The sequence below is a fragment of the Homo sapiens genome, chromosome X, assembly GCF_000001405.40.
Source record: "Homo sapiens chromosome X, GRCh38.p14 Primary Assembly".
Lineage (NCBI taxonomy): Eukaryota > Metazoa > Chordata > Mammalia > Primates > Hominidae > Homo > Homo sapiens.
The window spans coordinates 101,596,929-101,622,553 of NC_000023.11; the positions used below are offsets into that span (position 1 = coordinate 101,596,929).

Sequence of the window (25,625 nt, forward strand, 5' to 3'; positions counted from 1 at the left end):
TTAAACCCCAGAGGAGGAACATTTGAAAATTAAGACCTTCAATCCGGAAATAGAGATACTGATACCCTTGTATCCTGTGCATTGACATGTCTCTTTGGGGAGACTCATCTGAAAGCTTTATGTGTTTGCATTGCTGCTAGGTCCATGTTGGATGGCAATTAGATTGATTGTGTCCAGGAAAAGAATGTCTAACAATCTCCTTCCTAGAATGCCACAACTAGAGCACCTTTTAAAGAGTGATGCCCATCTGTGACTTGCATTAGATGTGGGATATACTCAGACTGACGAATTTGTGAAAGAAGATATGGAAGTCTGGTCTACAAGTTGACACAGTGTTCATCCACTTATCAGAAGAAGGCACAACCAAGCAAGAAAAACAAAAAGAGCGTGGGAGCTGCAGACAGTGGGGAAGACAGGCAAGGTCCATGATCTTCAGTCAAGAACTGAGGATAAGCCAAGCCCTGGGGATCAGTCTGACAATAATCATGGGCAGTAAGAACTCTCAGCCTCTCCAAAAGCAAACCATCGAAATAAAAATGAATGACCTATTCCCCCAATGAAAATAAAAAAATTTCTGGGTATGCTCAAAACTTTAAAAATGGCAGTTGTGTTCTAGACCTCTCCAAGTGTCTTTTCATTCAGGGAAAACTGTTGTTTGCCGAGCCCAAGGATGCGGGCTTTCCATTTAGCCAGGATATCAATAGCCATTTGGCCAGCCTCTCAATGGCTAGAAACACGAGCCCCACTCCAGACCCCACTGTTAGAGAGGCTTTGTGTGCCCCGGATAACTTAAATGCGAGTATTGAAAGTCAGGGCCAGATTAAGATGTACATCAATGAAGTGTGTCGGGAGACTGTGTCACGTTGCTGCAACTCATTTCTGCAGCAGGCCGGATTAAATTTGTTAATAAGCATGACAGTTATTAATAACATGCTTGCCAAGTCCGCTTCAGACTTGAAGTTTCCTTTGATATCAGAGGGAAGTGGATGTGCTAAGGTTCAGGTTTTGAAACCGCTGATGGGTTTGTCTGAAAAGCCAGTCTTGGCGGGGGAGTTAGTCGGTGCCCAGATGCTCTTCTCATTCATGTCCCTCTTTATCAGAAATGGAAACAGAGAGATTCTCCTGGAAACCCCTGCCCCATAAACGGCCCTCTCGAACACAATGGGACGGAATCCACCCACAACGCGCTTGGTTTGCAGATGTCAAAGAATCTGCAGAGGGTGCTACTGAAGATCCAGCCTTAGCCAATCACCACCTCATTGGGTGAAAGTTCCAGGGCTCAATCCAGGACCACACTCTTATTGGCCAGGCAGGGGCTCCCACAGAGCTTTGAGTAACTTCTTGGTTGTGCAGTCTGCAGGCAATGTTGGCATTGTAAATTCCTCCCTTGCAGCCTCCTTCATGTGGTGAGGGGATCACTTCAGCTGCCTGCTGTGGACAAAGAACATCAAATTACAGCATCACGAGTGCTATTGTTGCCTGTGGTGGTCTCCCTGTCCAAGCGGGACCGCTTTGCAGAGACCAGAGGCATATCGCGGCTTGAGCTGAAAATGCATTTGTTGCAGCTTAGGTTGAATTATTTTTCGTTTGCTCTTTCTTCTACACGCGCCTGATGGATAGTGAACCTATTCATCAAAAAAGTGCACTGCTCTTCTGTCTATTGTACCGACTTAACCTCTTCCACCCAAGTCCGCATCTGTGTGTATCATCAATAAAGTTGTGTGCTTTGATTGGCAGAAAAGAGTCATGGTCCTTGTCCTTGAGTTTACAGTCTGCACGGAGAGAAGGACAAAAAAAAAAGCACGGTAAACGCCAGCTGACTGGAACGTCTGCTCCGTGACAAATGCAGGCTTATCGGTGCTCACAGGAGGCAGGGATAGAGAGGGGCTGCAGTGCTCAGAATAAACTTCAAGAAGGGGCTGGAGGCGGGGGTGGGGGAAGGGGAGGGGCACAGCGGGGGAGTTCGTGGAATTAGGATGGAATGTTGAGAGGACTGAAAGAGACAACACCCGTGGAGCAGGCAGCACCGTGCCCCGGCACAGAGAAATCCCTTCTTAATGTCTTTTCCTTGACTGCCAGCCTGGAGAGAAAGGTCAGTAACCCTGGCCTTTTCGATTGTCGGCGCATCCCGACGTGGGGATGGGGACCGGGGTGGAACGGGTGGGGGCGCTCTACCACGCATCGGGGCGCATTTATTGCACAATGATGGCGATAAAGGTTGCCGCTTGCCCAGCACCTACCCTGTGTAGTTCTATCCCTCCTGCGAAGCCAGGGGGAAATCTGCTTCCAGCCCTCCTTCTCTCTTCCTTGGGATCCCCAGCGCTACTTCCTGGCAGAGTGAGAGGGTTGGCCGCTGCTCCCTTTGGAGCAACCTCCTTTCTTCCATATCCCCACTACCTGTGGTGGGACCCAGGAAGGGGACAGTGGAGCCCTCCATCAACTACCTGCGGGGGTGATAGGGCAGATGCTGAGGGCACTTGGCACGACCGTGGCCACTCCATCCATCCGGAGACACCTCCACACTCTCCATCTGAGGTGCCTGCACCTTGCCAGGAAAGGAAGAGCCCGTGGGCGCAGAAGCACTCCATGGGTCAGGGCAGCTCGTTCTGCCCCGCCCCCACCTCCAACATTACCAGATCCCGCCCAGCAGGTTTAGCCCCTGAATCAGCAAAGCCAGGTTCCCTGCATGTTTGTGATGTGTCAAGAAGTGGTCCCCTTCCCTAAAGCCATGGCAAACCCAGTAAACACATCTGCTTCCCCTTGGGCAAGGCTGCTGCCGTGCCCGGTGCCCTCTCGGTCTCCCAGGGCTGCTGCTGTGGGTCACTGTGTCCTGGGCAGCCGCGATCTCTGTGGTGCTGGGCATTCTGCTTGTTCTGTTCCACACAGAACAAAGCTTTCTTTTCTTGTCTTATTCTCCCTTCCCCCCGCAGCTTGCCTTCCAGGTGGGTTACAACTTTCCTGCTTGTACCATCTGCCCCACAGTCCATGCTGGCCAGACGGCCTGAGTGCCTGCCGGGTCCCCTGACCAACTCTGGGAAACCCTCCCACCTGGAATGGGGACCAGACCTCTTCCCAGGCCCTGGTGCCTGGGATGGCCAACAAGTGACTTGCAGTTGTTGTGACACCACATCCCCTGTCAAGGCTCACACTGCTGGGGCTTCCTTGGCTGGCTCTGGGAGCCCTGTCCCGGTTCCTAAGGGTTCCTAAGAGCTGTCAGAAGGACCACCCTTTCTCCCAAGCCAGCCGCAGTTTGGCTGGGCAATCTGATTTCAAAGGGGATTTCCCTGCAGACAGCTCCGCATGCACTTTTCCCAGTGGAGCCTGCTTCGCCAATGCTGTCTTTAGTGACACCTCATTGCTCAGTCTCTTTGAGCACAAAGGCATCCTCCTAGCCTGTGGTCCCGAATTAGCATGCACCTCCCTACTTCCCTGCACGCTACCAAGTTTCCCTTTACGTGCGCTTGTCCACCATCGCTGAGGCACTTGACACCGTGAGGCCGCAGCTGAGTCCTAACTCAGGGAGCGCCCCAGAGGCTTTCTGCCCATCTCCTGAGCAAACTCTGTCACAGAAAAGCCCATCAGCGTCCAAGTGTCTCCACGGCGTTGTCTTGGCCCAAGTCAAAACCCTCCTGTCCATTTGCTGGCACTGCCCTCCCGAAAGCACTCACGCACAGCCCTTCTGTCCTGCCCCTCATCCCCTGACTGGTTGCAGTGCCTGGGTACGAGCCCAGTTCCCGTGGATTCTGCCTCCCTGGGATGCGCGGGGGGAGTCGGGAGCATGCCTGCCTCCCAGGGCCTGATCAAGACACTGAGAGGTTCTCAGCACTGGCAAGAGCGCCGGTGCCCCCATTCCATATGTAACGCAAACATAAAAACAGCCCTGAGCCATCAATCACAATGCATACCTGCCTGCTGCAACCAAAAGACAGCCTTTCTGGGCTTCCCCGTGGCAAACATTGGAAAAGGTCATCAATCCTGAGCTTGCCACATTCTGTGAGAAGTGCTCTGCCTTGATGGTGCCGCCCCAGCCTGAGCCCGTCTCTTGTGTCAATCTGGAACTGCCGCCACAGGCTGTCTTCCACCTCCAGAAAGGGCCCTCAGTTTTGCTTCTCATCTATCTTATGAGCACGTTTCCATTTGGTGCCTGTAGGCACTGACTGACTTCCAGACCAACTTCAGGTGCCCTCCCCAGCCTGCTGCCTCTCCTAGGGATTTTGTGGTTTGCCACCCCCACCCCGCCCCCCTCCAGGTGAGTGCACACAAGGTTGCAGACAACCAGCTTCCCGGCAGGCACGTCCTGTCTCAGACACGGGACCCTCACCGGGGTGCTATGTGTCACTCTCAAAGCAGTATCCACCACGATCCCCTTACTTTTAAGTGCCACCCTGGACCAGCATAGCCCTCACCCAGTCCGTCCCTCTGACGATGCACCACTGGGCTAAGAGTTGGGCAGCTGTGGCAAGGGGTTGCTCTTGCCTCTCTTCTGAGGGACACTGGCTGCTCTATGATGCAGATGGGCACTGCACCAGAGTCCAGCAGAGTGCTGCAGAGGGCCGGCCCTTGCCCCGTCTGTTACAGACGCCAGATGTGTCTTCTCACTGGCTGCCACTTCCCTACTCTCTCTGCTCATGGCCTCCTTTCCATCCTGGAGGTCCATTTTCCCTTATTGCCTCTTGTTTTGGTGTGAGGTTTAGGACAGCCTTTCCCACTTTCCCATGAACACAGTCTCCTTGGCAGTTTTCTCGTTCTTTCACACCTTTCTATTCAGAGTTTTGTCTCATCGATCTGCCTGGAATTTACTTTTGTGCAAGGTGAGAGACAGTGATGTGACTTCACTTCTTTTCCCGCATGATTAGCCGATGAGCCCAGCACCACTGGTTGAGCACTCCGTTCTAGTGCTGTCTGTGGCACTTTCTGGGATCCTCATGCGCCCAGCTGCACACCCGCTCTGTGGTTTCCAGGCATTAAAGTTTCTCCTGAGGCACATCCCTTTCCCTCAGGAACCTCTTACTGACTTGGAGTCCCTCAGCTCACTAAGTGGCCTAAGGCAGGTGGGGTGTGTGTGTGTGTGTGTGTGTGTGTGTGTGTGTGTGTGTGTGTTGGTGGAGAGAGCTGTGTTGGTGCTTGTGAGCAAGCCTCTGCTCCAGGTACGTTCTCAGGACGTATTGCGGCCCACAGGAAGCTTAGGAACTCTCATCCCGCCGACCTTTGCATCATGGCAAACTGGGCACTGGTCTCTCTCCTCTCCCAAATTACTATATCTGTGCAAGACAAAAGCAATTTCCTTTTCTAAGTATAGAGTTGCTGTACTGTCCCATATGGTAGTCATTAGCTACACTTGAAATAAGATTCTTGTAACATGTTGCAACCATTGCAAATGTTTTCACTCACCCCATCTCTTGATATTTTTGTGTATGCGTGATTCATTTCATCGCTCAGGAAATTGGGTTTTCTGCTTCTGTCAATATTTTCCTTTTAGGACTTCTATATGTACTGTTTTCTTGCTTCCTCTTCCCTTCCTTCCTTCCTTTCTTTTTTTTCCATGACAGCCTTTCCTTCTCAAAGTTATAAGAAAAACTTTTGCCTATTTCCTTAGAAGGAATACAAACACAGTATCTTTTTTACAGTTAGCTTCATTGTTAACCTACTAGTAGTGTGTGTGTGTGTGTGTGTGTGTGTGTGTGTGTGTCTGTCTGTCTGTCTGTCCATACAGTTTGAGGTAGATTTTCTATCTTAATTTTCTCTAAATATATTATTAATTATACTAATGTCATTTATTGTAGAACACACCGTTTATGTTTTGATTGAAATCATATTAACTTTATGGATCAAATTGGCAAGGATTGGCGTCTTAGAATTTTATCCAGGTACAACTATTTAGACCTTTTCGTCACTTGTGATATTTTCTTTATAAAGATCATTCACATTTCTTTTTGGGGTTATTCCTAAGGATTTATCTGTTTTTCTGTGTGGACATGATATTTACCTTGTCCTATAAGAGTGCTTTTTTGACTCTGCTGTCCTCATCCTACATGCCAGCACACAGGCCATATCTTTGGCTTCTACTGCTTTGAGAATAGCAATGAAAAAATTGGACAATGAAGTGCCTCACCATTGCTACTCTCAAAGAGGAGGGAAGGAGGAAAAAACAAAGCATTTGGACCTAGTGTTCTACAAATGTTCTTTTCCCAGAAATCTTTCTAAAGACCCTTTCCCTGCCTTCATTTTATTTTTATGTTGTCTTTCTCCCCGACTCCCCTGGCAGTGGAGTAGTCCAAACTAGTTCTTCTGGTTTATTCAATCATGTTTCTTTCGACCCTGGCAAGGTCTTTATTAAGTCTAGCCATCAGTATTCTATTGTTCTTTGTTCTCAAATATCTGGATATGGGATAATTTTGAAGGAAGGAAAGGCAATTTGATGGCTCAAGCTATTACCACGATTAAGCACTCCAGATAACCGTGTTACACAACCCTCCTCTGAATAAATATTTGCATCTCACAAAGACCAATTGTCAATACGTAGATCTATATCCAGTGTTCTGTATTTTTAATTATCCAGTCCTTTGAGTTGGGTAGTAGATGAAGTTGGCAACCTCCCCTCACCTTGGGATGGGGCATGGAGGTAAGGGAAGTGTTGGGAGATGTTATCACCAGCCTTCTCTCACAGCCTTTTCTAGCCTTACACTTGAGCTGTCCCATGTTAGACTCAGCATTTTTTCAGCTTGTGCCTATGGAAGTGAAGAAACTAACCCCAATACTCTTAAATTTCCCAGTAACTTATCTGGTCATACCTGATACCCACCACTCTCTACGGTTTCAATTTGGGAATTGATTTGAACCAGGACACATGAGATTGGCTGTTTTTTCCTCATCTTTCCTCTCTCCTTTCCACTAAGTTTCTTTCTGATAAACATTTCCTTTAGGTCCTGAGTTCTCACTACCTTTGGCTTATATTAAAGATCTTTGGTCAGAATCTCCCAGGCCTGGTTACCAATATGTAATGGCAGCTTTTGGAATTCAGGAAAACTTGAAATTGATGGCTATGAATTTTTAAAATTAGCTTTGAGAACTCAAAGTTTCTTGAGCAAGGTACTGGCAGTACCTTTCTGCTTCTTATAAGCCATAGGGTCCATTGAGTTGCTGTCAACTTGTACATGATTCTTATTTTTGAGAAATATACAAACAGAGAAATATCCTAATTACTTAGTCTTGATGGTGAATAATGAAAATGGGGAGGCACACAGGGGGAACATTGACAATGAGAACATTGCCCTGTACCCTTTGCCTCAGTTTTCAGGAGGATAGAACAAAGACAGATGTATGTGGAATGAGGAAACTCTACAAAACATATATTAGGGATCTCACATGATATCTACAAAGCTGGGCAAAGATCAATCAGCCAAATCTTTACATTTTATATTATCATTATTATTATTATTATTAAGACGGAGCCTCACTCTGTCTCCCAGGCTGGAGTGCAATGGCGCAATCGCGGCTCACTGCAACCTCCGCCTCCCGGGTTCAAGCAATTCTCCTACCTCAGCCTCCTGAGTAGCTGGGATTACAGGCGCGTGCCACCACACCCAGCTAATTTTTCTATTTTTAGTAGAGATGGGTTTTCGCCATGTTGGCCAGGCTGGTCTCAAACTCCTGACCTCAGGTGATCTGCCCACCTTGGCCTTGCAAAGAGCTAGGATTGCAGGCATAAGCCACCGCGCCTGACTGCATTTTATCTTATTTTTAAACTTAATTTGTTTTTAAAAACTGGTAACACATCCTAGTGGTTCAAAATTCAAAAGATAACAAAGGGTATACACGTAAAATCTTTTAACCCCCTCTCTTACCAACTACTTGCTTCTCTCCCACCAGAAGCAGTTTCTAATGCATTATTCTAGAGATATTACACAGGCACACATAAACACACAAATAAACACACATACACACACACACAGCAATATGTTAATAACCTTGTAAATCCTTGGTTATCACTAGATTAAAAATTTGCTTTTCACTTTATAGATGAATAGTATTTTATTGCATGAATGTGTCATAATTCCTTAGTCCCCTGTTTGTGAATATTTTGTGTGTGTGGTTTTTTTTTTCATTTTTCTTGTTATTATGAATAATGCTTTAAGGATTAACTTTATACACATTTAGTCCTCTGCCCTACTCCCTTTCCTCTTTTCATGCACTTTTAGTTGATTAGATTATATTTCTTAGTGTTTATCTTTATACTATTCAATATACTTATATCTGTATCACCATATTTGTCTGGTTTAGATGGTATTTTTGACCTCAGTCATTAAGGATAAGAAAATCAACATATTTACATTACCTCCCACCTTGTTTTTCTTTCCTCTTCCAATTGTTGTTCATTGTATAATTGCTTCTCCATCTGAGTGTATCACCATTACATTCATTCTGTAAACATAATCACCACATTTGTTTTGGTCTTAGTCCTAAATGTACACAGATTTGACACTAATTACTATGCTTTTGCCATGGTTTCTCTCTTCCTTGTGCTTCTGCCATTTTTGCTTTCATCTCTGTGATTGTTAAATTTCTTTTTTCACATTCTTCACAGAAGCCTCACAGATCACATTTCTTCTCATTCTTATTTTGCCACTCCTTTCTTGAGCTCTTGCTTACTTGCTTTATTAAAACTTTCAAATTCATATGAAATATTTGGTGAAAAATTTCATCTACTTTATGGTAACATTTTTCAGATGACTTTTCATCATCTGCCATTTAGTTTTCATGTCCCTTTTCTCTCTTTTTCATGTATTATTTGTGTTTACCTTGTATGCCAGTTTCATTTTAATTCACCATATTTAAGAAATATCAGGTTTTCTCAAATCAGTTATTTGCAGATAGTTCTTCTAAGATTAGGGCCAGCATTGTTTCCCCTAATGTAAACAATTTTCCTTGTGGCCCAAGTCATTATAAAGAGGTAGCTGGGGCTTTGCAAGACAGCTGGGGCTCTCTCCTGCTAGTCAGGGGCAGGGTCAACTACAATGTTACCAAGGGAACAGATTGCTTCGTGCAAACATGACCTGTCTCTGTGATTTCTTCATCTCAATCTCTTTCTGCTTCTTATAACCCATAGGGTCCATTGAGGTGCTGTCAACTTGTGCATGCTTCTTATTTTTGAGAAATATACAGTCTCTCTCTTTTTGGGATTTGGTGTTACTGAGTGAGTGACTCAAGAGTGCAGCTAGGGAGTTTCTGGAAAATTAACTGAACAGATTATAAAGTATAAAACCAATTTACAAATCTGAGGAGACACTCTCTGTGAAGGAGTCAGAACCCAGAATATTGAGAAGCTTGGTTTGGACAGAGCCTCTAGTAAGACCCACAATGGCAAACAACTTCATGTTCTCTGTCATCCTTCTTGAACGTTCTTACTACACGGTACAGGGAGCAAAGGAACTCAAAACAGTTTCTTCCTGTTCTTGCAACTAAGCTCATGCGAAATAAGAGGAAAATGGAGGACATTGAAGATGCTTTAATCACATCCCACTGCATCTGTAGGTGAAGTGGATTTCCATTATTAATTTTTATACCATTCATCACACTCCATTGTAAATTCCTATTTTCTTTGACTATATTTTCTACTAGATAATAAGCTGTATTAACACAAGAATGGTGTCTGTTTTGTTTACTATCGAATCTCCATCTGCCTGGCACATAATTAGTGCTCAATGCCTACTCTATTTGATCATCGAGGCCTGAAGCTGCAGTTCTGGTTCTGGAGAGTAGTTTGTGCTTATCTACATGTTTTTGAAATGGCTTCAATAAATGTGCGTTATTTTTGCAAAGATACAATTTGTTTTTAAAAAATCTTAAACCATATTTACAGTATAGTCCTAATTAATTTAAAAATTAAGATGCATAAAACAGACTAAAATATTACACACTCAGTATACTGCTGTTCCTTGGGGTCCTGTTCTCAAGTCTCTTCTTTTTCCAGGAATCTCATCCACTGCCATCGTTTCAATTATCATCTATATATTAATGACTCACACATCTATATATCTGAAGTTCAAGATTAATTTATTTGATGCCTACAGCTTACATATCTCACAGATATTTCATGCTCAACATATTTGAAATTGGAGCCATTATTCCCTGCTCCTACAACAAAACTATTTCCCCGCCTGTATTCCCTGTCTCCGTGAAAACAACCATCATCCACCCAGTTGCACATGCCAGAACCCTAATCATTATTGACTCTTCCGTCTTTTTCACTCTATATTGCCAGCTTGTCACAAAGCCCCATTGATTCTACCTCAGTAATGTTTTTTAATAAATATTAATATGTATCAAAACAATACATACACTTGACAAAAACTCTATAGTACAGAATTTATAATAAAAACGGTTTTCCCTTTTGAACTTGCCTAGACTCAGTATCACTTTCTAGAATGCCAAACTTTTCTCAACTTTTCTGATTTTTAACTCCTTATGATGCAGTGGTTCTCAACTAGGAGTGATATTGCTCCGTAGGGGACATTTGTCACTGTTCAAAGACATTTTGGTTGTCACAACTGGGGGAAAGAGTGCTACTGGCATCTTGTAAGTAGAGACCAAGGATCCTACAATGCACAGGACAGTCCCTGGCTTAAAATGTTAATAGTGCCTGGGAAATCCTGTTCTTGTGGTTATCGTCAAGACTTCTAAAATACACTTGTATTCCTAATGAATTTTTGATATGAAAATAAGACACTTTAGCTCATTTATATTATCATACTTTCTCCCCCTCTCTTATTCCCATTTTTATAGCATTATTATTATTTTAATTTAATCATGCAGTCCACAGATATTTCTTGAGCACCATTGTGTGCCATTGAAATTTGGTAGTGAGCAGGGCAGAGGTAGCCTTTATTAAGCATGTTTTCCTGTGAAAGAAGCAGGCAATAAAAATAAAACACATAAAGTAGCTAAACTTAACTTTAACTAATATACACATAACTTTATTTTATTTCATAAACTTCCACTAGTATTTCTTTACTTTGCACTTTGTAAAATGAGGATATCCATTCCACTATTCTTTCTTCTGCCTTTTATCATCTTCTATATCCCACATTCTGTCAGCTACACTGAATCACATGTCTACTTAAAATCTCATCCCCACAGGTGATATGTGAATCATTTTCTAAAACTATGCAAGATGGGTTCAAGCGCTAGGACACTACTTGGCTCAGCAATGGGCAGCATTTATGTAGTCATAATAAACTAAACACACTTCATGGTTTTCAATGTCTAGAGTTGAAAGCAGAAAGCTTTAATGGGAGAAAGACCTGGCTGTTACAGAACAGAATATAAAAGTAAACTGGAACTTAGCTGCATGCAGATGGTTATATAAAGCAGGAAGTTCAACTGCATTCTCTCCATTAAAGAGGCAAGCTCCCTTTGATTTTATGATCGCATGGAGGTACCCTTTTGAGGATAATATCACATGATTAGTGTTCACATATCTCAGATGCTTTCACAAGTTCAACCTAAGCCTTTCTTGGGATGTAGAAGGGTTGCCTTCATATCCATTTGGTCACTTCAGACTTCTCTGGGAGCCACGTAACCGTCGTCTACTTATGTAATACCTTCTGGTGTAGTACAGCTAGGTGCAAGGTAGAAATAAACTATATCACGTTATGAATTCATCTTACCCTGGGAATATTTACCTGAATCACTCTTAGTAAGTTGGGAGCTAGTTCAATCCTGCCCCATCTTATGTGCCCAGGTCAGATTCAAGAGACATCTGGGATTAGGTTATGATTTAATCAAGCCCACTATAGTTGTTTAGAAATATTCCAGCTCAAGGCTCTTGAGTCACGTAAGGGGGACTGTTCTTACATTCAAGACTTAATAGATTCTTTTTCCTTATATTCCATCAAAATGCTGAATTCATTCTGTATCTTAATTTGCTGCACTTTTGGAGCAAGTACATATTTTTGTTTTGTTTTGTTCATCTGTTGTCTATTGTTAAATTAAAAAAAAACACTCCAAAACTCAGTGACTTTAAATAGCCATCTTATTTGCTGGTTATTTTGTGGATTGGTAGTTCGTATTGGGCTTATCTGGTTAGTTCTTCTGCTAGTCTTGCCTGAGGTTTTTCATGTGGCTAAAGTCAGCTGGCAGATTAGCTGAGGACTGGTTTTCCTGTAGCTAGGATTGCTATATCCAGCAAATTAAAATACAGTATGCCCAGATTAATTTGAATTCAAGATGAACAATTAATATTTTTAAAGTATAAGTATGTCTCATATAATATTTGGAAAACACATACACTAAAATTTATTTGATATTCAGCTGAAATTCACATTTAACTGGGATTCCTATATTTTATCTGACAATTCTTTCTAGGATTCCTCAGTTGAAACAGTTCATCTCTGTTCTATGTGGTCTCACCCTCCACAGGTTAGCCTGGGCAGCTCCACACATGGTGGTTTCAGAGCAGAAAGAGTGCAAGTCTCACTGAAAATGCTCTGTCCAGGCCTCCTCTTTTGTCATGTTTCCTAACATTTAAACTGGCCAAAGCAAATCACGTGGCCAGGCCCAGAGTCAATGCGGGAGGGGACTATACAATGGCATGGATACAGGGAGGCATGGTTTATTGAGGGTCATTACTGTAATATTTTCTTAGATGATCTTCTAATTGTTTTTCTTCCCTTATTTGCTTTTATTGCACCCTCTAGTTTTTCTAACCTCTCAATTCATTTTACCAAGTCTCCTTTTATTCATGAGTTCATCTACTACCCTAAATCTTCTATCATATTGCTCCACTTTGGTCTAGTTAATCAGGACCTATTATTTGACCATCACCTTAAAAGTAACCTTTATTACTTTTCCAAGTTGGGATCACTATTTCCTGGATTCCATATTTACTTTTCAATTGATTACTACCTCATTTTGTGGGAGTACATGTTCAAACAATTTTCTAAGGAAAATTCTACAGGAGATCAATTTTCTAAGGAAAATTCTACAGGAGGTAAATTTTATGAGTAATTTCAGTCCTGAAGACATCTTTATTGTCACTATATATTTGCCTGATAGTATGTTTAGGAATAGAATACTAGAGAAAAGCATATTCTCTAAGGATTTCAAGGCATTTATACATCGACATTTATCATCAAGTATTATGACTAGGAAGTCTGATGCCAGTTTGATTTGTAGGTGGCATTCCCCTTATCCTGGGAAGTTTTAGGGTCTCCTTTCAGTCCTTATTATCCTAAAATTTCTTGAGAATATGTCTAGGTGAAGGAATTTTTTAAATTAATTGTATTGGGTACACAATACATCTTTAGTTTTAATTTAAAAAAAGATATACAGAGAAAAAACAATGAGGATCTATGTATACATCATCCATAATTAGCAATGCTAATGCTTTCTTTATGTTTGTTTATAATCTTTTTCTTAATAGATAAAATTAAATTGCATATATTGTTGGAGTCACATTCTCCTCCAGCCGTTCCCAGAGGCAACTGATATTGCAAAATTGATGTGCGTCTTTCAGTGTCCATTTTAAATTTTGCTATAAATATATGTATCAATATAACATATAGTTTCATATGTTTAAAATTATATAAATGGCATTATACTATGTCTTTCTGCAAATTGATTATTTCATTCAACATTAGGTTTCTGAAAACTGCCTAGCTTGATACATAGAGATCTAGTTCACTCTTTCTTTTTATTTATTTATTTTTTTGAGATGGAGTTTTGCTCTTGTTGCCCAGGTTGCAGTCCAATGGCGGGATCTTGGCTCACTGCAACCTCCGCTTCCTGGGTTCAAGCGATTCTTCTGCCTCAGCCTCCGGAGTAGCTGAGACTACAGGAATGTGCCACCACACCCGGCTAATTCTGTATTTTTAGTAGAGATGGGGGTTTCTCCATGTTGATTTGGCTGGTCTCAATCTCCCGACCTCAGGTGATCCACCCACCTCGGCCTCCCAAAGTGCCGGGATTACAGGCGTGAGCCACCACGCCCGGCTGTTCACTCATTTTTAATGCCTGTAAATTCTATTACATAAACATGCCACATATTATTTATTCAGAAACCTCCAGTAAACACCAGCCTTACACTGAAACATCAACCATTAAAATCAGAAATGAGACCAATATGTGCCGTATCATCAATACTGTTTTTCTGGAGGTCCCTGACAGTGCAATGAGATAAGTAAAAGAAATGAACTAAAAACTATTGAATAGGAAGAGCTAAAACTGTCATAATTTGTACAGTACGTTTATCTACTTAAGAAGTCAGAAAGAAAAAAAGAGACAATATAATAAAATTAATGAGATTTCACCGAAAGAGTCTGACTATAGAATGACAATGCTACATCAACAGCTTTTACAGAAACCTGCAATAATTGCCTTTTAGTAAATTTATTTTCCAATAGGACATGGATACATAAGTACAAAATTCAAGAGGCACAAAGGACAGAAAAAGACAATTAAGTGAGTTATTGATCTTTTCACTTGCAAATCTAATATATAATACATGCTACGAGCCAAACAAAAAAACCAAAGCGACCTATTCATTGTGCATCATTCCAGAGATACTCGACACTATGTTTAGGAAATGTATAATCACATAAAACAGTATATAGTGTTATAGGATATATAATATTTACAATTATACACACAGTACACTGTTCTGCAACTTTTCTGTACAGATATAGTAATTTGGGAGAGGAGAGAGACCAGTGCCCAGTTTGCCATGATGCAAAGGTCGGCGGGATGAGAGTTCCTAAGCTTCCTGTGGGCCGCAATACGTCCTGAGAACGTACCTGGAGCAGAGGCTTGCTCACAAGCACCAACACAGCTCTCTCCACCAACACACACACACACACACACACACACACACACACACACACCCCACCTGCCTTAGGCCACTTAGTGAGCTGAGGGACTCCAAGTCAGTAAGAGGTTCCTGAGGGAAAGGGATGTGCCTCAGGAGAAACTTTAATGCCTGGAAACCACAGAGCGGGTGTGCAGCTGGGCGCATGAGGATCCCAGAAAGTGCCACAGACAGCACTAGAACGGAGTGCTCAACCAGTGGTGCTGGGCTCATCGGCTAATCATGCGGGAAAAGAAGTGAAGTCACATCACTGTCTCTCACCTTGCACAAAAGTAAATTCCAGGCAGATCGATGAGACAAAACTCTGAATAGAAAGGTGTGAAAGAACGAGAAAACTGCCAAGGAGACTGTGTTCATGGGAAAGTGGGAAAGGCTGTCCTAAACCTCACACCAAAACAAGAGGCAATAAGGGAAAATGGACCTCCAGGATGGAAAGGAGGCCATGAGCAGAGAGAGTAGGGAAGTGGCAGCCAGTGAGAAGACACATCTGGCGTCTGTAACAGACGGGGCAAGGGCCGGCCCTCTGCAGCACTCTGCTGGACTCTGGTGCAGTGCCCATCTGCATCATAGAGCAGCCAGTGTCCCTCAGAAGAGAGGCAAGAGCAACCCCTTGCCACAGCTGCCCAACTCTTAGCCCAGTGGTGCATCGTCAGAGGGACGGACTGGGTGAGGGCTATGCTGGTCCAGGGTGGCACTTAAAAGTAAGGGGATCGTGGTGGATACTGCTTTGAGAGTGACACATAGCACCCCGGTGAGGGTCCCGTGTCTGAGACAGGACGTGCCTGCCGGGAAGCTGGTTGTCTGCAACCTTGTGTGCACTCACCTGGAGGGGGGCGGGGTGGGGGTGGCAAACCACAAAATCCCTAGGAGAGGCAGCAGGCTGGGGAGGGCACCTGAAGTTGGTCTGGAAGTCAGTCAGTGCCTACAGGCACCAAATGGAAACGTGCTCATAAGATAGATGAGAAGCAAAACTGAGGGCCCTTTCTGGAGGTGGAAGACAGCCTGTGGCGGCAGTTCCAGATTGACACAAGAGACGGGCTCAGGCTGGGGCGGCACCATCAAGGCAGAGCACTTCTCACAGAATGTGGCAAGCTCAGGATTGATGACCTTTTCCAATGTTTGCCACGGGGAAGCCCAGAAAGGCTGTCTTTTGGTTGCAGCAGGCAGGTATGCATTGTGATTGATGGCTCAGGGCTGTTTTTATGTTTGCGTTACATATGGAATGGGGGCACCGGCGCTCTTGCCAGTGCTGAGAACCTCTCAGTGTCTTGATCAGGCCCTGGGAGGCAGGCATGCTCCCGACTCCCCCCGCGCATCCCAGGGAGGCAGAATCCACGGGAACTGGGCTCGTACCCAGGCACTGCAACCAGTCAGGGGATGAGGGGCAGGACAGAAGGGCTGTGCGTGAGTGCTTTCGGGAGGGCAGTGCCAGCAAATGGACAGGAGGGTTTTGACTTGGGCCAAGACAACGCCGTGGAGACACTTGGACGCTGATGGGCTTTTCTGTGACAGAGTTTGCTCAGGAGATGGGCAGAAAGCCTCTGGGGCGCTCCCTGAGTTAGGACTCAGCTGCGGCCTCACGGTGTCAAGTGCCTCAGCGATGGTGGACAAGCGCACGTAAAGGGAAACTTGGTAGCGTGCAGGGAAGTAGGGAGGTGCATGCTAATTCGGGACCACAGGCTAGGAGGATGCCTTTGTGCTCAAAGAGACTGAGCAATGAGGTGTCACTAAAGACAGCATTGGCGAAGCAGGCTCCACTGGGAAAAGTGCATGCGGAGCTGTCTGCAGGGAAATCCCCTTTGAAATCAGATTGCCCAGCCAAACTGCGGCTGGCTTGGGAGAAAGGGTGGTCCTTCTGACAGCTCTTAGGAACCCTTAGGAACCGGGACAGGGCTCCCAGAGCCAGCCAAGGAAGCCCCAGCAGTGTGAGCCTTGACAGGGGATGTGGTGTCACAACAACTGCAAGTCACTTGTTGGCCATCCCAGGCACCAGGGCCTGGGAAGAGGTCTGGTCCCCATTCCAGGTGGGAGGGTTTCCCAGAGTTGGTCAGGGGACCCGGCAGGCACTCAGGCCGTCTGGCCAGCATGGACTGTGGGGCAGATGGTACAAGCAGGAAAGTTGTAACCCACCTGGAAGGCAAGCTGCGGGGGGAAGGGAGAATAAGACAAGAAAAGAAAGCTTTGTTCTGTGTGGAACAGAACAAGCAGAATGCCCAGCACCACAGAGATCGCAGCTGCCCAGGACACAGTGACCCACAGCAGCAGCCCTGGGAGACCGAGAGGGCACCGGGCACGGCAGCAGCCTTGCCCAAGGGGAAGCAGATGTGTTTACTGGGTTTGCCATGGCTTTAGGGAAGGGGACCACTTCTTGACACATCACAAACATGCAGGGAACCTGGCTTTGCTGATTCAGGGGCTAAACCTGCTGGGCGGGATCTGGTAATGTTGGAGGTGGGGGCGGGGCAGAACGAGCTGCCCTGACCCATGGAGTGCTTCTGCGCCCACGGGCTCTTCCTTTCCTGGCAAGGTGCAGGCACCTCAGATGGAGAGTGTGGAGGTGTCTCCGGATGGATGGAGTGGCCACGGTCGTGCCAAGTGCCCTCAGCATCTGCCCTATCACCCCCGCAGGTAGTTGATGGAGGGCTCCACTGTCCCCTTCCTGGGTCCCACCACAGGTAGTGGGGATATGGAAGAAAGGAGGTTGCTCCAAAGGGAGCAGCGGCCAACCCTCTCACTCTGCCAGGAAGTAGCGCTGGGGATCCCAAGGAAGAGAGAAGGAGGGCTGGAAGCAGATTTCCCCCTGGCTTCGCAGGAGGGATAGAACTACACAGGGTAGGTGCTGGGCAAGCGGCAACCTTTATCGCCATCATTGTGCAATAAATGCGCCCCGATGCGTGGTAGAGCGCCCCCACCCGTTCCACCCCGGTCCCCATCCCCACGTCGGGATGCGCCGACAATCGAAAAGGCCAGGGTTACTGACCTTTCTCTCCAGGCTGGCAGTCAAGGAAAAGACATTAAGAAGGGATTTCTCTGTGCCGGGGCACGGTGCTGCCTGCTCCACGGGTGTTGTCTCTTTCAGTCCTCTCAACATTCCATCCTAATTCCACGAACTCCCCCGCTGTGCCCCTCCCCTTCCCCCACCCCCGCCTCCAGCCCCTTCTTGAAGTTTATTCTGAGCACTGCAGCCCCTCTCTATCCCTGCCTCCTGTGAGCACCGATAAGCCTGCATTTGTCACGGAGCAGACGTTCCAGTCAGCTGGCGTTTACCGTGCTTTTTTTTTTGTCCTTCTCTCCGTGCAGACTGTAAACTCAAGGACAAGGACCATGACTCTTTTCTGCCAATCAAAGCACACAACTTTATTGATGATACACACAGATGCGGACTTGGGTGGAAGAGGTTAAGTCGGTACAATAGACAGAAGAGCAGTGCACTTTTTTGATGAATAGGTTCACTATCCATCAGGCGCGTGTAGAAGAAAGAGCAAACGAAAAATAATTCAACCTAAGCTGCAACAAATGCATTTTCAGCTCAAGCCGCGATATGCCTCTGGTCTCTGCAAAGCGGTCCCGCTTGGACAGGGAGACCACCACAGGCAACAATAGCACTCGTGATGCTGTAATTTGATGTTCTTTGTCCACAGCAGGCAGCTGAAGTGATCCCCTCACCACATGAAGGAGGCTGCAAGGGAGGAATTTACAATGCCAACATTGCCTGCAGACTGCACAACCAAGAAGTTACTCAAAGCTCTGTGGGAGCCCCTGCCTGGCCAATAAGAGTGTGGTCCTGGATTGAGCCCTGGAACTTTCACCCAATGAGGTGGTGATTGGCTAAGGCTGGATCTTCAGTAGCACCCTCTGCAGATTCTTTGACATCTGCAAACCAAGCGCGTTGTGGGTGGATTCCGTCCCATTGTGTTCGAGAGGGCCGTTTATGGGGCAGGGGTTTCCAGGAGAATCTCTCTGTTTCCATTTCTGATAAAGAGGGACATGAATGAGAAGAGCATCTGGGCACCGACTAACTCCCCCGCCAAGACTGGCTTTTCAGACAAACCCATCAGCGGTTTCAAAACCTGAACCTTAGCACATCCACTTCCCTCTGATATCAAAGGAAACTTCAAGTCTGAAGCGGACTTGGCAAGCATGTTATTAATAACTGTCATGCTTATTAACAAATTTAATCCGGCCTGCTGCAGAAATGAGTTGCAGCAACGTGACACAGTCTCCCGACACACTTCATTGATGTACATCTTAATCTGGCCCTGACTTTCAATACTCGCATTTAAGTTATCCGGGGCACACAAAGCCTCTCTAACAGTGGGGTCTGGAGTGGGGCTCGTGTTTCTAGCCATTGAGAGGCTGGCCAAATGGCTATTGATATCCTGGCTAAATGGAAAGCCCGCATCCTTGGGCTCGGCAAACAACAGTTTTCCCTGAATGAAAAGACACTTGGAGAGGTCCAGAACACAACTGCCATTTTTACAATTTTGAGCACTCCAAGTATTTTTATGTTCATAGGGGAATGGCCGCTGTTTTATTGGGTGTGCTCGGTTGGCCTTGCCTCCCCCTGAGGGCCTGTCCTCAGTGCCACCTGGGGCCCCAGGTTCAGTCCAATCCCCATCCTCAGTCCAGGGCCGAGCCATAGTTTCAAAATCAAACCAAATATCAGGCTCCTCCTCATCCAGCTCCTGGTCATCGTCCCACTCCTCTTCCCCCTCCTCCTCCAGCTTCTCACTGTCATCTCTTCCTATGGTCAGTTTGTAAACGCAGTAGCAGGCACCAGCCCCAATCATCAGTCCTGCCGCCATCCAACCCACTTCCCGAGCCCGGCCCATGCTCAAGTCTGTGCCAGCCTTGGGGCAGGACAGGAGAGGGCCTTGCTCCACCTGATTGAAGAGGTCTCTCAGGTCCAGGGTGAGTAAGGATGGAGGGTAGCAGTCTTCAGCTTCTTCCAGGCTCTTGTAGCTCTCTTGTGATGAATCTGTGGGTGAAACAGAGTATTAGGGCTCGGGACTATGTTTGGCTTTGTGCCTCACAGACAGGGTGGATTTCGAGTTGGTGATAAAGGCAGATTAACAGGATACAATTTCTTTGTTCTTTTCTTTTCTGTCTTCCTCTATCGACCTCAGGAGCCCCCATTTCTCTTCCTGGGTCCACAGGGAAGGGCAGGAGATGGGTCTCTGCTATGATAGCTAGGAGGGTGACAGTGTGAGTACCTCTCAGGTAGTCTCCTACACCAGACCTCCACCCCCAAAGATTAAGGGCAGTTTCTCTCATTAACCTCTACCAAAGTCAGATAAATTCCTTCGTTTTCCCTTGTCTTCTGTTGTCAGTGGTCCCTCCACGGTGATAGAGGATAGAGTCTGGCAGAAGGACAAATGCAAAGACAGGTAGGCGGCAATGGAGAAATGAAAGTGTAGTGGATGAACTGAGGACACAGGTCCCAATTTCTGTTTTTGTGAATTTTAGACACTTGAGTTTAAAATATTTCTCATACTCTACTGACTTTCCGGACGCAGGCCTCCTCCGCCCCACTTGTCGTCCGCCATTTCCCCAGCAAAGGCCGCCACACCCCTTTCCCTGCACTGAAATGGGAGTGGGTGTGGAGAAAGAAGGGGCCAGGAGAGGGCGACTCGGACCTGGCCCTCTCATATCCCAGCCCCCCTCCTCCGCCACCCCCACCCATGGTCCTGGGCTAATCCCACCTTCACACTGACCTGCAAGGTTCCAACCAAGGCAGTTTTCTCCTTCTCTCGCTGAAACTTGTGCCGAAACCTACAGGCCAACAGACCTACAAACCTGCAAACAGACAAGGGACCGAGGGGACGGAGTGCTTGGTGGACGGACCAGCACCCGGGACACTAGAACCTTTCTTTTCTCGGAGTCTCTGGAAACGCCATTCACTCCCCTCACCCCCACCCGAAACCCGCCACTTCTCTCTACTAAAATGAGCACGGGGTGGGGTGGGGGTGGGTAGCAGTATTTAGAAAGTAGGCGAGAAAGGGACCCAGCTGTGATCGGCCTGAACTCGGATCTGTGGCGTTCTTGGCCCTCTTCCACCCATACCTCCTCTCAAGCAGCGCCCACCCTCGCACCGACCTGCACGGTCCGAGCTAGTTTCCTTCTTTCTTCACACGCCTGCAGAGTAATAGGGGGCTGGTACCCAGACGGAGGCGACTAGCAGGACTTGTGCTCTAGGCGGCTCTTGGTCACGTGACGGCCACGTCACCAGTGCGCTCTGGCCCCCAATTTCCACTCCCACAAGCAGTGCGGCAGGCGCCAGCCTGCCTTGTATCTCCCCCTCAACCCCCACAGTGGGCCCTGTCACTTTTTTCCTCTGTAACAATACCAGAAACCAGAAGTGGCCCTGTCTTTCTGGTGTTTGAATTTATGTTTCTCTAATTCCAGGAAGGGGCAGCATCTTTAGGAAGGGGCAGCATCTTTTCCTGAGTCTACCCTTCATTTACACTTCTTGGGGAATTGTCTCATCCTTTCCTTGGCTCTGAAACTTCTGCAGCCCCTTTCTTAAATTTCTACACTTTTCCGTGTTCAGTCTCTACACCAACATTGGGTGAGGGGGCAGAAACGGAAGTCCAGGCAGTGGTGAGATTTTAATTAGTATTTTGATAACATTTAAGTTATATTTTGTCCTTTCTTTTTTATTGACTTGAACTACACTATTTTGTAATCGGAAAAAAACAATAAAGCTTTTCCCACTTGGAGAAGAAATAATTCAAATCTTTTTTTTTTTTTACAGATATATATATATATAACATAAGCAAGATTTCCCAGTTAATAGGAGGCCTCATTGATTTGATGAAGTTAGTTTGTATCAAGTTGAACATATTTTCTTCGGACTGCACAGGAAATAGCAGCTTTCAAACAACATATTAAAATGTAAAAACACACCCTTAGAAACAAAACCAGTTGTGCTTTCAACATGATTTATAAATTGATGGATAAATGAATCTATACCGAGAAGGTCAGTGTTCTAATTTTGACCATTTTAAGTAAGTGAACTATTGTCCCTTTCTTTCTCCTGGCTGAACTCATAGTATTAGGTGTCAGATGACTGAGATCTTCATAGAAGATTGCTGGGTGACTTTCACTCTGGCTTCAAAGGACAGATTTTATGCAGACCCCAACTTCAGATGAATCTTACATCTTCAGATGAACTTTACAGATTAGTGACTCCACAGATTAGCCTGCCTTTCATTCACAGGGCTTTATTTACAATCTATTCTGAAGTTTGTGGTGCAACCTATAAATCTTCCAGAAATTAGAGAATTTCCTGTTATCCTATTGATGAAAATGAGACTTGATAGAGGTAATTTTCTTTCCATCATGACACTGTTGGCGATCTCTCTGTTGTCTGCCATTCATGTATTTTATGCTACCCTAGCAGTGGTGAGTGTTCAGCATTTTCCAGTGGAGATGGTGGTGAGGGTCTGTGGGTGACTGGGAATCAGTGCAACACCCCTGATGTCTGTGTCATTTTTTCCCCTCACAAGTGGAAGGGCAATGCACAGGATCTCAAGCAGTTGCCAGAAAAAAAGAGGACTTTTCATTTCCTGCCTTCTATTACAACTTCATTGAGCCACCAGTACAAGCCCCTCAGAATAATCCCAAAACTCAGGGACCAAGTATGCAGAAGTTAGTCCTCATGCATCCACCTGTCCCTGCTGAGGAGTCATACTCTAAATATAGACACTCCAGGCAACCTCTTAGAACATTGAAATATGACACCCCAGAGGGAGGGGCTCCCCAGTGAGGGGCTCCTGTGTGGAGGAGGCCCTTTCAGGAGGCAAGCCAGGGAGTCCTAGTGCCTTGCTGGTGAATATTCAGAAGTCAATATGTCACAACTTTCTGGTCTTCCCCTTTTATAGTCCAAACTCACCAATATCACATCTTATCTCTCTAAATCTTTACCTCATTTTTTTTTCATGACCCTTTATTAACTTCCCCTAGACAAGTGAATTATACTTATGAAGGCTTACTAACAGAACTCTCAGATTCAACAGTCCATCATTCAGTGTTTGGCTGCTAGGTAGTTGTATAAGTGGCTTTTGTTTGTTTTGAATATATACATTAGAAAAAACTAAGGAGTATGTAAAGCTTAATAAAGACAGATGACTTGGTGTCACAGACATGGCTTTACAATAAGAACTCACTTTCACAACACTTAGCCAGGCTTCAAGGACAAAAACTTTACTCCTACCTCTCCTCAGTAGTATAAAATATCTCCACCCTTTTGGTATATTCTCCAGTTAGTCCGATGTATAACTTCTCACTACCATTCTCCCAGTATGCCAGACCTTTCCTGGTTTGAATCCACTCCCTGTCTAAAACTTCCTAAAACCCCATGGTTATAAAAACCCTTTCAATTCTCTTACCTCTTTGTTCTTCTGATCCACGATTCTATCAATTCCTACCTGGAGACTAGCATTAAAAAAAAAACTACTTTGCTCTCCATTATACATCTACCAAGAAATATTTAATTAAGGACATGTTATAAGGCTCACATACCTTTCAAAAGTGAGAAAGGAAAATGCTTAAAGAAGTCCTCAGACACTACTGTTAAAAGTTTCTGAGTCCGCAAAAAACTACTGTGAAACCACTGCCAAAACAAAACTTTTGGCTTAAATCAGTTCACATGTGATATGTAACTTACAAAGCACCCAGAAACAAAAAACGACCAGCAAATGGTGACACTAATGGAATTGTGGAGGGTGAAAAAAATAAATTATAGAAGGTTGTTATCTTGAAAAGTTATATTACTTTTTGTATTGTGTAATTTTGGTATTGTGTCTTACTTAAGGTTGTTTGGTTGCAAGCAACAGAGAACAAGCCTGGTTAACTTAAGGAGGAAATGTTGAAGACAAGGCTCATCTCCGAGGGGTTTAGGTAGAAGGAATTGATAGACGTCTTTTCAGGATGTCATAAGTCCACCGGTTTTCAGGTTTTTATCTCTCTAATGAAGATTGAAATTTTAGTAAGGCAGCTTTTGGTTGTTCTGTTTTGAGCACAATACCCACCCTTTTGCTGAGGAAAACAATAGGGTCAGTAAAATGTAAAATGCACTTCCTTTCTTTTCCCAGGGAGAAATTTAAACTGTTTCAGATGTTGTTGTTGATTTGCAGGAGCCCTTTTATCACTTTGGAAATTAACCTTTTGTTTATCTATAACGGTAGTGCTGGGGGCATAATATGCCACAGAGTATCTTAGTTGTAATTTCCACCATTAACTAAACATTAGAAAGGTATGGTTATGAAATGGTGATGCACAAGGTTGTCCTTTGAGCCAAGGCCATCTGGCTTCTCCCACAGGATTCCCCCAAGGTTGCGTCTACAGTTCAGGGTCTCTTCCTCAGTATTGCATGACCAAATCCTGATTTTGTTTGTATGCTGAGAAGAATTGCCTCTGGATGCCTCAAGGAAAGACTCCCATTCATAGAGACTTATATATAAACAGATCTGAATGCTCAAACCTAGGGATCTCTGCATTCTCTCCCCATAAGTAGACCACAAGGGAAGCTGTTTCAACAGGAGTGACAACTGAATAATTTGCCCTCAGAAATACAATTGTCAGGGGGTACTGGAGGTTTCCGTCAGTCTTACCTGCCTATTCTTTCCCTGTAGACAAGCTACTACTTGGGAAACCACAACCTTAGAAGGTTGTTTGGTGAGCCTGCAATCAGAGCAAGGGTATTTGTTCATTTTAAGAAGGGGGTTTCAGCTGAGGACGCATGAAGTACTATTACACATCATGGGCATGACTCTGCCAGAGAAAGTGAAATGTTCCATTCTCCTTAGCCAACACTTTTTCTCCTCCAGGCAGTGCTTGGGTGGGAAATACCAACACTTTCTTCTGACTGTCCTTTTCATATATTCCTATGCTTGAATAAGCCCCTTTGCTACACATGATCTTTCTCTAAACACAGGATCATATAGTTGATTTGGTTTCTGTTTACTAAATAAATTTCAATCACATTCTAGTACTGCCTCCCAGAAGTTACACAGATATGAATTTTCCTGGGGGTTTGCCTGTTCTCAACTTCCTCAGTCTCTTGATTTACTCCCATATTGTCTGTGTATTTTAAAAGTTATACTCAAATAATAACCTTTTATTCAAACTATTAGTGAATATCTCACTGAAGACCCTATGTTCTGAAAAGCTATATTACTTTTTGTATTGTTACCTGTTTTTGTGTTGTGCTTTAGTTAAGGTGGTTTGGTTGCAAGCAACTGAAATCAAATCTGGTTAACTTAAATAATGAGGGGATGTAATTATTTTATTCCTTTTCCTACTTTAAAAAAGGTAAATCATTGATGATGGGTGAATTATTCAGTTTATCAAACCAGTAAGTAAAATAGTTTCATACTAATTGCTAGGTCCCAGTTTCAGCCAATTTTGTCTTGGTCTGTGTTCCTCTAATACTTATTTCATTTATAGATGATATTCTCTATTTTGCCCAAGCATATTTTGTAATGTTCTTTTTATGCACACTCATTTTTTCAGTGTGCATGCTTTATCTCACAGATACCTACTGTGCACTTATGTTTTCTCCTCAGTTTTTTTTTTTTCTGCGTTCTGGCTTTTGTGGGTTTAATGCCTCCTCCTTGCTAATGGGTGCAGGTGAAAGTCTGTAGCTCTTCTATTCAGAAGACTGGTCTAGTCAGAAGACTTACGTATTGCCAGACACACTGATTAGCTCACTCAGGGCTGTGCTGTGTGCTAGGCCCCAGAAGACATTAAGATTGCTTTGAGT

At 44.8% G+C, this 25,625-nt stretch overlaps 1 protein-coding gene and 1 pseudogene across 6 annotated transcripts, besides 1 other annotated feature; one reads left to right on the plus strand and one right to left on the minus strand.

Moving 5' to 3' along the window:
* On the plus strand, positions 552-1,340 carry ARMCX7P (armadillo repeat containing X-linked 7, pseudogene; annotated as a pseudogene).
* Positions 16,681-17,243: an enhancer, noted in NCBI's record as "H3K4me1 hESC enhancer chrX:100868599-100869161 (GRCh37/hg19 assembly coordinates)". NCBI's record gives its function as "activates a minimal SCP1, AML or CMV promoter by ChIP-STARR-seq in primed H9 embryonic stem cells {active_cell/tissue: H9 hESC(primed)}" and the evidence as "EXISTENCE:reporter gene assay evidence [ECO:0000049][PMID:30033119]".
* On the minus strand, positions 18,197-21,072 carry ARMCX6 (armadillo repeat containing X-linked 6). Of its 6 annotated transcripts, NR_033670.2 has the most exons (5): positions 20,957-21,072; positions 20,575-20,656; positions 20,355-20,442; positions 19,744-19,838; positions 18,197-18,832 (listed from the first exon to the last, which is right to left on the minus strand). NR_033670.2 is itself a non-coding variant. In XM_011530976.3 (4 exons), exons 3-4 carry the CDS (start codon positions 20,404-20,406, stop codon positions 18,790-18,792), a joined length of 1,092 nt encoding a protein of 363 aa, XP_011529278.1. In that variant the 5' UTR covers positions 20,407-20,442; positions 20,575-20,656; positions 20,957-21,072; the 3' UTR covers positions 18,197-18,789. The 6 variants fall into 6 exon arrangements, 4 of the variants coding, with proteins under 4 accessions (XP_011529278.1, NP_001171697.1, NP_061880.2 ...); NR_033669.2 differs by lacking the exon at positions 20,355-20,442; XM_011530976.3 differs by having other exon boundaries at positions 18,197-19,838; positions 20,364-20,442.

Coding starts and splice junctions, on each gene's coding strand:
- ARMCX6 (XM_011530976.3), bottom strand. CDS start 20,406: ATGGCGGACGACAAGTGGGGCGGAGGAGGCCTGCGTCCGGAAA. Junction 19,839..20,363: donor AGGAGGCCTGCGTCCGGAAA/GTCAGTAGAGTA, acceptor TTTCACCCACAG/ATTCATCACAAGAGAGCTAC.